We start from the raw sequence: 16,615 nt of genomic DNA, 5'->3' as shown, positions 1-16,615 counted from the left end.
TGGCCTGGCATGGCAGGGCTGCAGAGGGGTGCACGCTGGGGAGGTGGGGGCTGGAGTGTGTTCCACAAGGCCTGGCACTGTGGCCCTCTTGACCTCACTTCTTTGTCCTCTCTGCAGCTTCATCCCTAGGCTACCTCTCTTGGGCTAGTGTTTGCCAAACTTCAGTCACTTGGGAATCAATCGTTTTCTGTGTGACTACATTACTGAATACTTCCAAATTTTCTTAAAATTTTTTTTTTTTTTTAGAGACAGGTTGTTGCTTTGTCACCCAGGCTGGAATACAGTGGCACAGTCATAGCTCGCTGCAGCCTCAAACTCCTGGGCTTAAGTGATCCTCCTGCCTCAGCCTCTCAAATAGCTGGGACTATAGGTGCACACCATCACACCTGCCTAATTTTCTATTTGGAATCTTTCAGAAACGGGGTCTTGCCATGTTGCCCAGGTTGGTCTCAAACTCCTAGCCTCAAGTAATCCTCCCAAGTAGCTAGAATTACAGGCACCAGGCCTGGCCCAAAATTTTCTTTACATTGATTTGTCTTTAAAAAAACTGAAATAATTACTTTTGTCTTGTCCTAAGTAATGATACCTATGAAATCACAGGTTTGATGTGCTCGTTATGTTTTATTCTAATTCCTGTTGGAACAAATCCATCATTAGTAAGATGTGGCTGTGCTGCCTGAGCTATCCTGCATACCACCTGGTGGGTGCTTGCTACACTCTGGGAGGCATCCTGTTCTATTATAGCTTCATGCTGGAGGCACACTTAGATTCATCTGGGGACACAAACCCACAGACTCTGTTGCACACCATTTCTGTGCATTATCTCATTTCATCCTAATTCTAATCCTAGAAAGTGGGACATGCTGGCCCATTTTACAGATGAAGACATAGATTCAGAGAGCTTAAATGAGTTGCCCAAGGTCACAGAGTTAATAAGTGGCTGAACTAGGTCCTACCCATAGTTCTGTGTAACCCATGCTCTGAACAACTGTGCAACCAAATCTTATTTCCTTATGCTTTTTCCCGAGTCTTTCTAGCAACTCTCTTAATCACCCCAGTTTCCCAAGTATCCCCTACATTAGCTAGGATTAGATATGATTGAAATTACAGAAAGTTTCAAAGTAACTGTGGCTTTCAAAAGGCAGAAGTGTACTTTTTTCAGGTAGAGAAGGTCTAGATGGGGAGTCTAGGGCTGCCAGGGTGGTTCCATGGACATCAGAGCAGAGTACATTCATAGGGGCCTTGGCCTCATGATTCAAAATGGCTGCTGAGCTCCAGCCATCACATATATGTTCTGGGATGAAGTATGGGAAAAAGAGGACTCATCTCCTTTCTTCTAAGGAGAGTTCCTGGAAGTTTCACAAAGCACTTCCATTTATATCTTATTGGCCAATAGTTGGCCATATGGCTTTCTTGGTTGCATGGGAGGCTGGGAACCACTGTCATTTATTTTAGATATGATGTACTTCCTTATAAATCAGAATTCTGTTCCTGAAGGGGAAAGAGAGAATGGATGTTTTATCAGCTGTGATACCCCGAAGACTCTACAGCATCTACTTTTAACAAAAATCTTTTCTTAAATTTATGAAAATTGGGAGATGTTTTTGGTTGAGGTTTCCAGAGCTAGAACATGTTTATCACTCTAGACTCCAACTACTCCAAAACCGAACACTCTGGGGAAAAAAACCCACAGAATATTTTCCATGTGTGACTTCTACCTCCAAGCCAGTGGGAAACTCCCTGTATCCTCAGAGTCCTACATGTTCCCATCTGGCCCGACCTGGCTTAACTGCAGAGAACAGGCACAATTTGCATTCACACTGTCAGGTAGGGTTATGATCATTTTATTCTACTCATGAAAGAATGTAAATTCATGCATTTCAGTACAATTTTCAAAAATAAGAATAGGAACAAGTAAGTATTTCTAGTTATTCCTGGGTTTGCTTGGAAATGAGACCCCATGACACGAGCAGACACAGCCCTGATGCCCTGCAACAAAAAATCCCAAAGACTGAGATGGAAATCGGACTGAATATTTCCTTGAGTTCAGCCTGAGTTTGCAAGAATCCGTATCTAGTCAATTTTTTGATTGCTTTGAGGCAGATCTAGAAAGGTAAGATTAATGATTTTGAAAGCAAAACCAACTAGTTCTTTGATGACCAGTTGTAATTGTCACATGCTATGATTTACATAACCGAAAGAGCAGCAGCCTCGAAATATAATTTGGCTGTGGTCTCATTGTCACAATGCAGAGCTGGCCTCAGATGTTTCCTGCTCTGCAGAAAAACGGCTTACAATTCATTGGCACTAAGACTGAAATTCTAATTTTCAGCAGAAATCAGCTATTTTCTGAATGGCTTGTAAAATTCCTCTCTCTTAATGCTACAGAGCACTGTTTTGCCAATGATCCTGGTTTACCTGGGAATTCAGAGGCTAACACTATGGCCACACACAGCGGCTTATGCCTGTAATGCCAGCACTTTGGGAGGCCGAGGCAGGCGGATCACTTGAGGTCAGGAGTTCGAGACCAGCCTGGCCAAGATGGCGAAACCCCGTCTCTACAAAAAATACAAAAATTAGCAGGGTGTGGTGGTGCATGCCTGTAGTACCAGCTACTTGGGAGGCTGAGGCAGGAGAATTGCTTGAATCCGGGAGGCAGAGGTTGCAGTGAGCTGAGATTGTGCCACTGCTCTCTAGCCTGGGCGACAGAGCGAGACTTTGTCTCAAAAAAAAAAGAAGAAGTTAACATTGCTTAAAACTAGGTGCCTCCCACACCCTGGGCTCCCTTGCCTGGCAGCACTGGTGCTGGGAGGCACTGCTTTGCAAGGCTTTCTCTGCTCCAAGTGCATGGTTTGCCTCTGCTGGAGGCCACTGGGACCAGCATGATGTGTGTTGTCTGTGAGCTGAACACCCAGAGCTGTCTCGGAGGGAAATCCTGACCAGCCCACAGGCCCCACGACCTCCCCTGACGAGGGAGGGAGGCTGAGCTCTCTTGCAAGCACAAGTTTTCCTTTAGGTCCTTTGATGTCTATAAGAACATGGAATCTGACCTTCTGTGCCTTCATCAGGTCACATTTGCTCTGGACGGGACCAGAAATTCCCTGCCACCCTTGCAACCAGAGTCTTAGTTTTCAGAATGTTGAAGAATTACCTGAAGGATCTGTCTGCTGTCCATTTGTTTTTCTGAATCCCAGACACTCAGCCCGGGAACAGCTTAGAAGATGGAATATGTTAATTCATGAATTACGAATCTAGCCAGTGCTAACATTTCTCTCCTTGCTCTGATCTCTAAGGAGTGGGAAGCCACACATATGGGCTGAGTTGGTGATCCATTCTCAGGATGCAAGTTGACTAAACAAAGACCGATGCTTGCGTTGGTGGTCTCTCCATCTCAGCTCAGATTCGTGTTGCTGACCTGGCCTCAGTTTCCCATTTACTAATGTCCTTTTTCTTTTTACCCCAGCTCTGCCACTTGTCAGCTTATGTAATCTGGAGCTAGTTAGCGTTAGTCTCTCTTAGTCTCAGTCTTCTTAGCTGTAAAACGGGGATAATGATGGTCCTTTGTTCCAAGAGTTACTATCCGAATTCAAGGAGACACTCCAGGTAAAAGATGTGGCATTATGCCTGGCACAGGGGAGAGGCTCCGTATCAATGATTATTACTGCTATTGTTCTTAATTATCCTATTGCATATGTTTGTGTAGGCTGCTTCACATCCTTTCTGGTGTGAATTAGAAACTAAAATATTAAAATACTTTTTTGTTTGCTGCTTAATTCAAAGAAAGTCTTTCTTTGGCATAACTGCAGTTTTTCTCCTCAGGGAATGCTTTTCCTCCATTTGAAAGTACTGCATAAATTAATTTGCCTGCCATTTTATAGAGCAATAAAGGTAAGAGGACATCGTAACTAGCTTTCTTGAAGTTTTGTCTTTCACTAAAGAATTATGTGGAAATGGGCCAGGTACATTGGCTCATGCCTGTAATCTCAGTGCTGTGGGAAGCTGAAGTGGGAGGATTGAGGACAGGAGCTTGAGACCAGTCTGGGCAACATAGGGAGACGCTTGTCTCTACAAAAATTAAAAAATAAAAATTAGCTGGACGTGGTGGTGCGTGCCTGTAGTCCTAGCTATTTGGGAGGCAGAGGCAGGAGGATCACTTGAGCCCGAGTTTGAGGCTGTAGTGAGCTATGATCATGCCACAGAACTCAAGCCTGGGCAACAAAGTGAGACCTTTTTTAATTTAAAAAAGAATTCTGTGGAAACAAATAAAAATTGCATGGAAATTGTTAAACTGAGGCCTTACTTTTTTTGTGTCTGAATTGATGAAAATTAAATGCAAACTGTCCAAATGGAGTTATTTCTTTGCTGTTTTGCCTGCTTACTACACTGGGTGAGCCAAGTAAATCAAAATAGTTAAACCAGTTGTTCACTGAACATATTGAGATGGCAGTTGGGAAAAGTGGCCCCGGAATTAAGGCCCAGGCATTCTAAAGCCCAAGCAGGCTGAATTTTCTTCTGACCTGTCTGACTTTTGGTCTTACTTGCCAGAGCGAACCAGTTTTCTTGTAGAAATAGCATAATGTTTAGACACTTAAGAATTTTGTTTCTATTTAAGTTTATCCTGAAAGCACAGCCGCGGGTCATTCACACACTTTGCCATGGTGGGAAGCTGGGTTTGGCAGTGCCTTACAGCAATGTCTGCCGTCAGGGTACAGGACTGAGTCTTAGTGCTCTGCCTCTTCCCTTTTAGTCCATCTACAGTATTTGTTTGCACATTGCTGGTTTCTTAGGGGCTGCACTAATTGAATTTGCACAATAAATCTAGTGCCCTGGAAGTTGGCCAGCTATTTACATTGATTTGTTATATAAGTTCAGCACTAATAGTATGAGGCAAGGTTAGCATTTAATTCTGCAGAAAAGGGGAAGCTCTTAGTGCTTCAGCTTCCCTTCCTGTGCCTGTCTGCTCTCATTCTGCTTCTCTCTTCATAGAGAGCACAACCATTTTCCTTTAATTAGGCTGCAGAGAGCCCAGGCCAGCATTAGGCCAGGCGGCCACTCAGCCTCACTCACAATCATGCCCATTTCCTATCTATTTTCTGTAGGAAAAGAAAAAAAAAAGTGTATATGTGCACATATAAACCCCCACGAGTCAGGGGGACAAAGGAGCAAGAGAGAATGACCTTTTGTGAGGCTGAGGCTGCAAGAACTAGCAAACTCCATAGAGCAAGATATTTCACTCCCTTATTATTCCTTTGGTTAAAGTAATGGCTCTTTAAATTCTGAACAAGTGCTCAGTAGAAATATCATTGACCAGGACAGAACACACACACCATGTTTGAAATGTGTTTAAAATAATTTTAAAAATAAATAATGAATACATGTTAAAAATAATTCTCTTTCAGCAAATAGGCTTTTCTAATTAATGTGTTCCTTTTTTTTTTTTTCTAAAGCTTTTACAGAGAGAATAATAAACCACAAACTGTTTCTTCACTTTTTTTTGTCACTCTTAGGATTTCAGGGTTGTGGTTTCCAAAAATCAAGCATGAAAATTTAACTAACATATTCCTAGTTCATATCTCACCAAAACACAATAAGAGGGTAATGGATTACAACCCACAGAAGAGTGCAGGAATCCTTAAGTCCACAATGATAAAGATGAATGAATGAGTAAATAAACGGAGGAGAAGGGACAATTCTTCCTTACAGTAGGATGCTAAGTAATAAATATGTAAGAATTATGGAAGTAGAAAAATCACCATTTGGTAAACAGTGCAGTAATAGTTATTTCAGCCAAGAATTGTCCATGGAGTCTAAAATTTGTAGAAGAAATTATGAGACATAAGGTATTTATATAGTCTCAAAGTATCACTAATTAGTTATGAAGGTAAAAATACCTGTATAAATAATCTCAAAGTAGCAGCTTTCCAGGGGAAGAAACCTGCAGCCTCCATTCTAACCAAGTGATCACAGTTAACAAAACTGCTGGGATCCAGCTCACCAGCTGGTGAAGGACACTTCACTCTGAGAGAGGACATTCTCTTGAATTCCTCACAAGGTATCAGAGCCCCATTTTTTTAGAGCTGGGAGGGATAAGAGATTACAGATTTTGGCAACCTTCTTGTTCTACAGGTAGGAAAACAGAGGCCCACCGCTGCACCTGCTGAAGCCCCCATGGTCTGGTCCAGGAGCCATGAGCCACCAGCGGCTTCTGAGCACTTAAAATGTGGCTGGTCTGGGCCAGGTGTGGTGGCTCACACCTGTTAATACTAGCACTTTGGGTGGCTGAGGCAGGCGGATCACTTGAGGTCAGGAGTTCGAGACCAGCCTGGGCAACATGGTGAAACCCTGTCTCTACAAAAAAATACAAAAATTAGCTGGGTGGGGTGTCACATGCCTGTAATCCCAACTACTCAGGAGACTGAGGTGGGAGGATCACTGGAGCCTGGGAGGCAGAGGTTGCAGTGAGCTGAGATGGCGCCATGCACTCCAGTCTGGGTGACAGAGTGAGACCCTGTCACAAAACAAACAAACAAACAAAAAACGGCTAGTCTGAATTGAGATGTACCTCCTGTATAAAATACACACTGAATTTTGAAGATAATGCAACAAAAATGTAAAATAGCTTATTACTGTTTTTGTATTGACTAAATGTGGAAATGACAATAGTTTTGGATATCTTGGGTTAAATATAATATATTATTAAATTAATTTTCTCTGTTTCTTTTTATGTTTTTAATGTGACCACTAAAAAGGGTACAATTTTGTATGTGGCTTCTGTTATATTTCTACTGGACATCACTGGTCTAGATAGAAAGGTGAAGAAAGTGAGTCTGTTGACCGCCTCCTGTGAGCATCATTTCAAATGCAAGGATGAATGTGCAGTGGGCCCAGCATCCAGAGGTGCTCTGACAGCAAGAGATGACGGACATGTAAAGAGAACCACAATACGGTACAATACTGTGGGATGATGGCTGCACTAGAGCAGGCGGGAGCTCCGCCATCACTTACAGGCGCTGCGTACAGAGGCACGGGGAGGATCTACTGAAGCACTGGAGAAGGAGTCGGTGTTTGCAAGGGAAACCAGGCCCGGGAAAGCGTGGAGGCACAAAGCAGGCAGGGCCTGCTGGGAATGACAGGTGGTTTGACTGCTCTAACGTCCAGTCGGATGCAAGGTGGGGGGCAGTGGGCGGGGCAGACTCTAAATGCTTGTGTATGGGGCTTGGACTTTATCTCCCAAGTGATGGAAAGCCATGGGAAGGCTTTAAACAAGTGAGTGCTGTGGACATCCTATTTATGGTTCAGAACAGGTGCTCTGGAAGCCATGTTGAGGCTACACTGGACAGGGTATGGCCGGAAGCAAAGGGGCCCTGCTAAATGCAGCTGCAATGGCAGCAGATGACTGGAGACACATTTAGGAGGTGAGGGAGAAGCGAGTGAAGGAAAAAGATCTGCAGATATTCCCAGGCCCTGGCTCAGAGGTGCAGGGAAGCAGGAGCACAGGACAGAGAGGTGAACAGGGGCAAAGGACAAGGAATGAGTCCATTCCTTTTTTAAAGTGGAGACAGAAGTGCCTGCAGAAGTCCAAAGTGGGAATGTCCAGTTGGCCAGACTGACCCTAGCACAGATGGAGCTGGATAAGGGCCCCAAGAGACAGGTTTGGTTCAAGGAAGAGATGACAAGACGGTTGATGGCAATCCCAGGGAAATCGCAGTATGTCCTGAGGGGTGGTGGGATCAGGGGGGCAGTGAGGGACACTTGAGTAAAGTGTCAGCAGAAGAAATGACAAGGAACACAGGGAGAGGGAGCAAAAGGTTGATTCCTACCAGCCAAAAACCACCAGGAACCTGGCGTGTAAACAAAGTCAGGTTTATTCAGCTGACTGCAGTAGGAAGAGTAAGGTCCCAAGGGGTTTCTTGATAAGAAGGAGTTGAGAGGATCTTGAGACCGGATTTGGGCTGGTGCCCAACCTCCACACCCCGACAACGCTTGTTAGCTCCTGTTATTTCAGAGAGCAGCCATCCTATCGGGTACGAGGTGACATCTCATTCCGATTTTGATTTGCATTTCCCCGTTAAGTAGTCACGTCTAACACCTTTTCATGTACTTCCCAGCCGTCTATATGTCTTCTTTGAAAAATTGTCTATTTGGGTCTTTGGCCCACTTTTAATTGGGTTATTTATTTTTTCTATTGAGTTATATGACTTCATTATATATTTTGGATATTAACCCCCTATCAGAAGTATGGTTTGCAAATACTTTCTCTCATTTCATAGGTTGCCTTTTTTTTTGAAATTGTTTCCTTTGTTGTGCAGAAGCTTTTTAGTTTGATGTAGACCCACTTGTTTATTTTTGCTTTTGTTGCCTGTGCTTTTGGTTTCATATCACAAAAGTCAAGGCCAAGGCCAATGTCAAGGAGCTGTTCCTCTTTGTTTTCTTCTAGGAGTTTGGCCTTGTTAAGTTTGAGAGTCAAGTAAGCAGTTGTATATATCACCAGAGCTTAGAAGCAAGTCTTGCACACACTGCCTCTAAAATACATCTGAAATATGACCATCCAAAGTACCATCTCTCACCTGGGGTATGGCTGTGTCTCCCTAACAGCTCCATTCCCCATATAGCATATGGGGAATGTTTAAAACATGAATTGGCATGTTGCTACCCTTCATGCTTTGAAACAACGATCCCAAGTCCAAACCTCCACATGATCTACATGATCCAGCTCTTCTGACCTTCTCTCACTGTGCTACAGCCACGCTGGCCTTCTTTTTATTCCTCAAACATCCTGTACTTAGTTACTTATCAAAGCGAAGCAGCACTGAAACCAGCCTGCACAACCACAGCTGGCGCTTCCGCATGGATTCTGACTGGAGAGAAGAGCAGTGCCTGAAAGCAAGGGGTGTTGACGCCCAAGACTGTGGGTGCTCACCCGGGGCAGATGAGTGCTGACATCATTATGAGTGATCACCCAGCAATTCATGTTACTCATGGATATGATCTACTGGGAAGAAAGATTTGCAAGAAATCCTGTGATAGGGACTTTGAGGGACCTCAAAGCCTCCTGTTTCTTCTGTTTTTTTTTTTTTTTTTTTTTTTTTTTTGACAGGCTCTTGCTCTGTTGCCCAGGCTGGAATGCATTTCTTTTCTTCCAGGAAATCACCTTCTCTAGGATTGGGTAGATAGCTCCACTTCCTCTTGGGGAAGATCTTGATTATGTCATAACATAAACATAACTAAAATAATGTTTCTCTTACCTAAAGCTGAAGGTAATGGCAGTCCAAAGATACAAACATGTGACCTTAGCCCAAAGAGAGTCTCTTAAACAATCAAAATGAGAGCTCATGCCAGCCATTTTGGAAACATATTACATAATGTGAGTTACATTTATATTTTTTAGAGACATTTCAGTTTAATTTTTCTGAGGGAAGAAAGATAATAAGAAGGTGCATTAATGTTCCTAATTCATGAAATATGCACTGGCCTTCGAAGTTCCTGATTTAGTTTCTCTTTAAAAAATTACTTGTTCATTGTCTCTTTCCCATAAAAGGCAAGAAGAGGACAAGGGTGGGCACTATCTCCACTACCATTTAATATTGTACATGTAATTCCAGGCAATTCAATAAAATAAGAAAAATAAATAGAAAGTAGAAGTATTGGAGAGGAAAGAAAAAAGGTGCTGTTATTGTAACTGATAATCATCTGTCAAAGAAATTCCAAGATAATCTAATAAAATATGCTTAAACAAAAAAGAGACTTCAACACAAGAGCAACATACAAAACCCACATCTTTCCCAACTACCAATATCTTTTTTAAAATCAGAAAATGTAATGAAACAAAAAGATTCCATCTACAGCAGCAACAAAACTATAAAAATACTAAAATAAACTTAAATATAAATGTGCAAGCTCTATGAAAAAAAACCTATCAGAGTTCATGGAAGAAAATTTAAAAAGACCTGAATGGTAATATTCCATTTTATAAATGTACCCCAAATTAACCTGTAACTTCAATTCAGACTCAGTTAAAATTCCAAAAATAATTTTTATAAAGTTGGACATGATAATACATTCGGAAAGAATAGCTAAGAAGACTACACATTAAAGATATCAAGCCAACTTATAATGTCTCAATCATTACAACAGCATGGAAGAGTACAGAAACAGACAAAATGGAGCAAAGAAACAGGGTAGGAAATTCAGAAACTGAATTCTCTGTAGAAAAAGATTTTGGCTCAGTGTATGATAATGGTAGTATTTCAATTACATAGGAAAAAACATGAATTATTTAGAAAGAGTTGTTGGGAAAATTATCTCTACACTTGGAAACAGTAAAATTAAATTCTTATATTACACCACACACAATCACACACACAGTTTTCCAGATGAATTAAAGATGTCAATGTAAAACAAAGCTACGAAAGTGATAGAAGAAAATAGGAGCATATTTTACAATTTCCAGGTGGAGAAAATTTCCTAAGTAGGAGACAGAATTCAAAAAGAAGAATTTTGTTATTCTTCTTTGTTAGAGACGGTTTGATTATGTAAAAATTCCAACCTTTATAAAAAAAGATATCAAAAACAAATAATAAAAGTGAATAAAAAGACAAGCCACAAACTGGGAGAAAATCTTTGCAAAACACATATCCAATAAAGGAATAGTAAACCAAATACACAAAGAGCTCTTAAAATTCAACAGTAGGAAAACAGACATCCAAATTTAAAAATGGGCAAAAGAGCTGGACACGTCACCAAAGAAGACATAGAGATAGCAAGCAAGCATTTGAGTTGGGCATGACAGCATGTCCCTGTAATCCCAGCCACACAGGAGGATGGTTTGAGCCCAGGAATTTGAGACCAGCATGGACAACTTAGTGAGACCTGTTAAAAATATATATACATTTTAAATTTATTGATCCCAAAATGGTCAATATGGTAAGTCACTAGGGAATTTCAAATTAAAAACAACAATGGGTATGGCTAAAATCTAAAACATTAACAACACCAAATGCTGACATGGATGTGGAACAACAGGAGCTCTCATTCATTGCTGGTGGAAATACAAAATGGTGTATAGCTACTTTGGAAGACAGTTCGGTGGTTTCTTACAAAAACTAAACACTCTTACCACATCATCCAAAATTGTGTTCCTTGGTATAGTCCCAAAAGAGTTGAAAACTTATGCCCATACAAAAACTTGTACATGTTACAGCAGTTTTATTCATAATTGCCAAAACTTGGAACCACCAATATATATTTTAGTAGGTGAACAGATAAACAAACTGTGGTATATCCAGACAATGGAATATTATTCAGTGCTAAAAAGACATGGAGGAACCTTAAAAGCATATTACTAAGTGAAAAAAGCCAGTCCGAAAGGACTACATACATACTGAATGATTCCAACATATGATATTCTGGAAAAGGTAAAACTACGGAGACAGTAATAAAATGAGCGGTTGCCAGAAGCTTGTGGGGGAGGCAGGAGGAAGGCACGAGTAGGCACAGCACAGAGGATTTCCAGGCATGGAAAGGCGTTCTGTTTCACACTGTAAGGTGGGTACATGTCAGTATACATTTGTCAACACTAACAGAATGTGCAACATCAAGAATGAACCCTAATGTAAACTATGAACTTTAGTTAATAATAATGTATCAATATTGTTTCATCAGTTGTATCAAATAGACCACACTAAAGATGTAAATAATAGTAGAAACTGTGTAAGTGGCTGGGGGTGGAGGAGGGTATGTGGGAGCTCTGTACTTTCTTCTTACAGAGAGGAGGTCTTGCTTTGTTGCCCAGGCTGGTCTCAAACTCCTGGCCTTAAAGGAACTCTGTACTTTCTGATCATTTTCTTCTGTAAACCTAGAACTGCCCTAAAAATGTCTATTAATTTTAAAGACAGGCTGTAAAATATTTGCAATGTACATAATAAGGATTACTAGTCTTTAAATATAATAAATTCTCATAAATGAAAAAGAAACAGGCAACCTAATTAAAAATGGGCAAAGAATGACACGCAATTCACAGAAGAATAAATACAAATGACTAATAAACCTATGAAAAGATTCAGTGGACACTGAAGAGAGGCAAGTTGAAAGTACAATGAGAGATACACTTCCCACTCTTTCTTCCTCCTGCAGAATATATCCAGTGTTCATGAGCATGGGGAGAAAAAAGCTCTCTTCTGTCCTGTTAGTGGGAATAACCTTTTTTGAAGATAATTTAAAATAATATCTTGATCAAAATGTAAATGTATATACCCACTGATCCAGAAATCCCATTCATGCACACAGAGATATATGTTCAGTGGTAACATTATATACAATGCCAGGACAAACTTGAAAATAACCTAAATGTTCATTAGTAGAAAAATCATTAAGTAAATTGGGATTTAGCTATTCCATGAAAGATAAAAAAGCCATTAAAAAGAGTGAGAACTATGTGTACTGACATGGAAAGAACTTCAATATTTATACAGATTCTTAAGTGAAAAAACTAGAAGGAAATAGGTACAGTATAATCCCATTTGAGAAACACATATTCACAAACTGAGACTGCGGTCAGTGTTGGCCAGAGGAGTGGGACTGAGCGGAGGGAGAAAAGTTCAGTTGGGTGGTGGTAATTTTTTTTTAACAGCCATGTACAATTTTCTATCTTTCCTACTTAATCTTAAGCTCTGTGAAGGAAGAGGGCACGTCTCAATGGCTGTGTTTCAAGTAAGCAGCACACTATTGTTCAATAAAAATACATTGAATGCATAAGAATTGAGAATATTAAAACAATTTTAATGGAAATAATCAAGGATACGCCAAAAAGATGTATCATCAAGAATGTTTATTGCAGGGTTAATTATGAAAACAAAAAGTTAAGAGCAGCCCAGTTAATTAAGTAAGGCACGTTGGTATGGTAGAACTCTATCCAGTCGTTAAAAAATAACGCCATTAAAATAGAATCTCAAGAAATGGGAACATGTTCAGAATATGCTGAGAAGCTAAAATAGCAAGCTGCAAATCAGCACGTGAAATATTGTTTATATATACATTGTATATTTAGAGAAAAATATGAAAGGACACACACCAAAAAAATTAACAATTGGTTTCTTTGCAATTCTTTATTTCATACCCCCGCCACAACCCCCATGTTGGGCTCTGCAATGATCATGTACTACTTTTATAAATAGAAAACAAGACTTTATTTAAAAAAACCTCTAGAAATTTAGCTCTGCAGTTTAGGTTTTTACATGGCTTCTTTCTAGGTGCCTCTAGGTGCAGCCCTTGGCTTTTGGATACTGGCTCTGTGCATTCCATTCGTTATTAATACAACTTGTCTGTTTACATCTTAGCCATCAATACTCTTCAACTTCTGTCTATCTGCTGAACTGAGACTTTCACGTGCTAAAAATAATAAAGAACATTTTCAGCAATCATATGTTAACTCTTGGGAAGAGAATTCTCTTTTTTAAGAGATGGGTCTATTATTTGGTTTCTGGGCATTTGAATTCCATACTTGCTTTTAGGAACAAATTGTGTTTGAAAGTAGGGGACTGTCTGTATTTCTTACTCTCTTTTGAAGGCCTGAAAATTTAGGGTTGTTTGTTGTCCTTTTTTAGAAAAATCGAAGACGAAGGCTGAATAACTTCTCCAGTGCCTTTCATGCCCATGCTGAATGAGATCCGTTTATTCCATGGGGCCCTCTTTAAAGGTATACTGGCTCAAACTAGAATCCTCGCCTAGCTGAGCCTTGGCGGGAAGAAGTTGAAGTCGAGTGGCAGAGTAGCTCACAGGTATGGGGCTAGGCCCCAGGGCAGCAGTGCTTTGTCTAAGAACAGTGATCACAAAGTCAGAGCTGCATAATCTCATCATGAAGGGCCATCTGACATTATTGAAAACAAAGTCATTATTATGATAACTTTAACAGTCTCAACCCTGGAAACCACTCACAGTCTAATTCAATAAATAAGCTACTTAAGTATAGAAAGTCACAAGGAAGAACAGATTTTGTGTCATATTAGTAAATTTGATTTTCATTAATGCAAGATGAATGTCTTCTATGAAACACTTTCCTACCATATTAATAACATGATAGCAAACAGCATTCACAGGTTGCTAGGCAACACGAGGACCCTCTAATGATCTCTTCTGTTCTCGAGAGGCCACAGAAGGAAGATGCCAGAACTCTGAGGGTAGTTCCCATTTCTTGGTAACTGTTTCTGCTGGAAGACCACCATGGGACTGGAAGGGAAGGGAGTTAATGATACCATTTACCACGGCAAATATATACCACTTCCCTCTTTCCTCCTTTACACTGGCTTACTATGTGGGAGAACAAGAATTGAGAAGGGGGCTTAGATACAGGAGGTCAAGAGTTCTCAGTCCATACCTCCTTTCCTGCACCCAGATAGGCAACAGGCTGCTGTGAAATCAGGCTCAGAAATGGAGTGAAGGCCTTGAGGTTTGTTGGAATCCGCTCAACCCCCTGCCATCCCTCTCTCTTTGTGGGGGTAGGCCCCCAACAGTCATGTTGGGACTTCATGTCAGGAAACAGGGAACGTCATTTGATCCGAGCATTTCAGTTATGTATTAATGTGCAACAACCACTCCAAAACTCAGTAGCATAGAGCAACAGCCATTTTATTATGCTTACGATCACTTGGCTCTGCTCCATGATGACAGGGGTATCAGATGGAACAATGAGTGACTGGGGGCCACTCAGATGACTGTGGCTGAAACCATCTGGAAGCTTCTTCACTCACATGTCTAGCACCTGGGTTGGGATGACTTGAAGGCTTGGCTCAGCTGGGACACTTGCTAGAGTGCCTGTATGGCCTGTCCATGTGGCTTGGGCTTCCTCACAGCATGGTGGTCTGAGGATAGTTAGACTTCTTATATGTCAGGCCAGGAAATTCAGAGGGAATATTCTAGCAAACAAGTTGGACACTGCATGGCCTTCTATAAGCCAGTCCTAGAAGTCACATGGTCTCACTTCTGCCAAACTCTATTGGTAAAAGCAAGCAATCACAAGCTTGCCCAGGTTCAAGGGCAGGGGACATACACCTTACACTCTTTCTGGGAGGAGGGCCAAATGGTTTGCAGTCATAGTTTGAAACTGTCTCACCAAGCCATACCTATCAATCACTCTCCAAGGAAACTGGAGTTGGGACCAACGTACATCTGGATAATTTCTATGGGTTTTGGGGCTTGCAACGTAAACATGGGAGCTGTGGGGGAAGCAGAGAAAGCCAGTCTGCAAGAGAAAGAAGCAGCCACTGCATGATCTCTCCCTACCTTGTCTGTCCTGCTGTGGTTCCTTCCCAAAACCTAGTCTTATCTCTGCCCTTTGTCCTGTTAGATACAACCATGAAACTTCACAATGGATTCTCCTTTTTACCTTAAATCTATAGCTTTGGTTGATTTCTGTTTCTTGCAACCAGAGTGTTAAGTAATTCAGAGATTATCAGATACTTTTTGAATGATTGTTGACATAAATATGATTACTTATATAAGTTACCATCACCTATCACCCAGTTTCAACAGTTAACGACTCATGGCCCATGTTGTGTCATTGCTAGCTCCTCCTACTCTTCTCCCTCCTAGGTTATTTTGAAGAGAATCACCAGACACTCTCATTTATTAACTTTAGGCATAACTATTGACACCTTGTTATGATAAATGAAGTTTTATCTTTTTAAAACACAAACCCTCACTTCTCTCTCTCCCAATTTCCCAAATAGTTTGTATCACAGTTTTTTGGTTAAATTTGAATTCTGTGATTACATTATTTTAACAATGCAATATTAATCACAGGCCTTTCTTGTATAACTTTTAACTTTTCTTAGAATTAATAACTGCCCTATTTTTGTTAGTTTTTAATGTATCTAGTATAATTTTTTTCAAACTGTTCCAGCAGCTCTGTAAAGCACCCTTCAAAATTATTTTCCATGTAAACATTTCAAATAATCCAAGTAATTAATTGTGTCCAGGACCCCTCCCTCCTCTCCTCTTTGGCCCACCTGGCTGTCCTCTTGGCAGCTGGGACTTCTCTACATTGCCCCTCAGTGCCACAGCCCCTTCCTTACTCCTTCTTAGTTTACAACTTTGGTTGCTTCTCAAAAATAACTCCTTATTATGAGAATTTTAAATTATGTTTAAGTTAGAAATATACCTATAATGAGCTCCCATCATCCATTACCCAATTAAAACAGTTATTAGCTCAAGGGCAGTCTTGGGTCATCTCTAGTTCCTTCTACCATTCTCCCTCCTGGGTTATCTTGAAGCATGTCTCCAGACACTTCAGTATGTATCTCTAAAAGATAATGGTTCTGTTTTTAAATATATATATATTACATATATAATATATATTATATATTACATATATAATATATATTACATATATTATATATTACATATATTATATATTACATATATAATATATATTACATATATTATATTACATATATAATATATATTACATATATTACATATATTATATATATTACATATATATAATATATATTACATATATTATATATATTACATATATATAATATATATATATCTATATATCTGAAATACCATCTTTACTGCTAAAAAAATTAATCATAATTGCTTATCATCATTAACTCTC

At 40.2% G+C, this 16,615-nt stretch overlaps 1 protein-coding gene across 1 annotated transcript in view, besides 1 other annotated feature; it reads right to left on the bottom strand.

Annotated features, from left to right (window-relative positions):
- The window catches only part of CFAP61 (cilia and flagella associated protein 61), a 308,167-nt gene that overhangs the window by 23,829 nt on the left and 267,723 nt on the right, over positions 1-16,615 (bottom strand). The window lies entirely within an intron of this gene.
- Positions 2,124-2,323: a silencer, noted in NCBI's record as "silent region_12710". NCBI's record gives its function as "represses an Ori minimal core promoter by ATAC-STARR-seq in GM12878 lymphoblastoid cells {active_cell/tissue: GM12878}" and the evidence as "EXISTENCE:reporter gene assay evidence [ECO:0000049][PMID:35858748]".

The sequence above is a fragment of the Homo sapiens genome, chromosome 20, assembly GCF_000001405.40.
Source record: "Homo sapiens chromosome 20, GRCh38.p14 Primary Assembly".
NCBI classification, from domain to species: Eukaryota; Metazoa; Chordata; class Mammalia; order Primates; family Hominidae; genus Homo; species Homo sapiens.
Note: the sequence above shows the minus strand (reverse complement) of the source record. Positions and strands in the feature narration are given on the sequence as shown.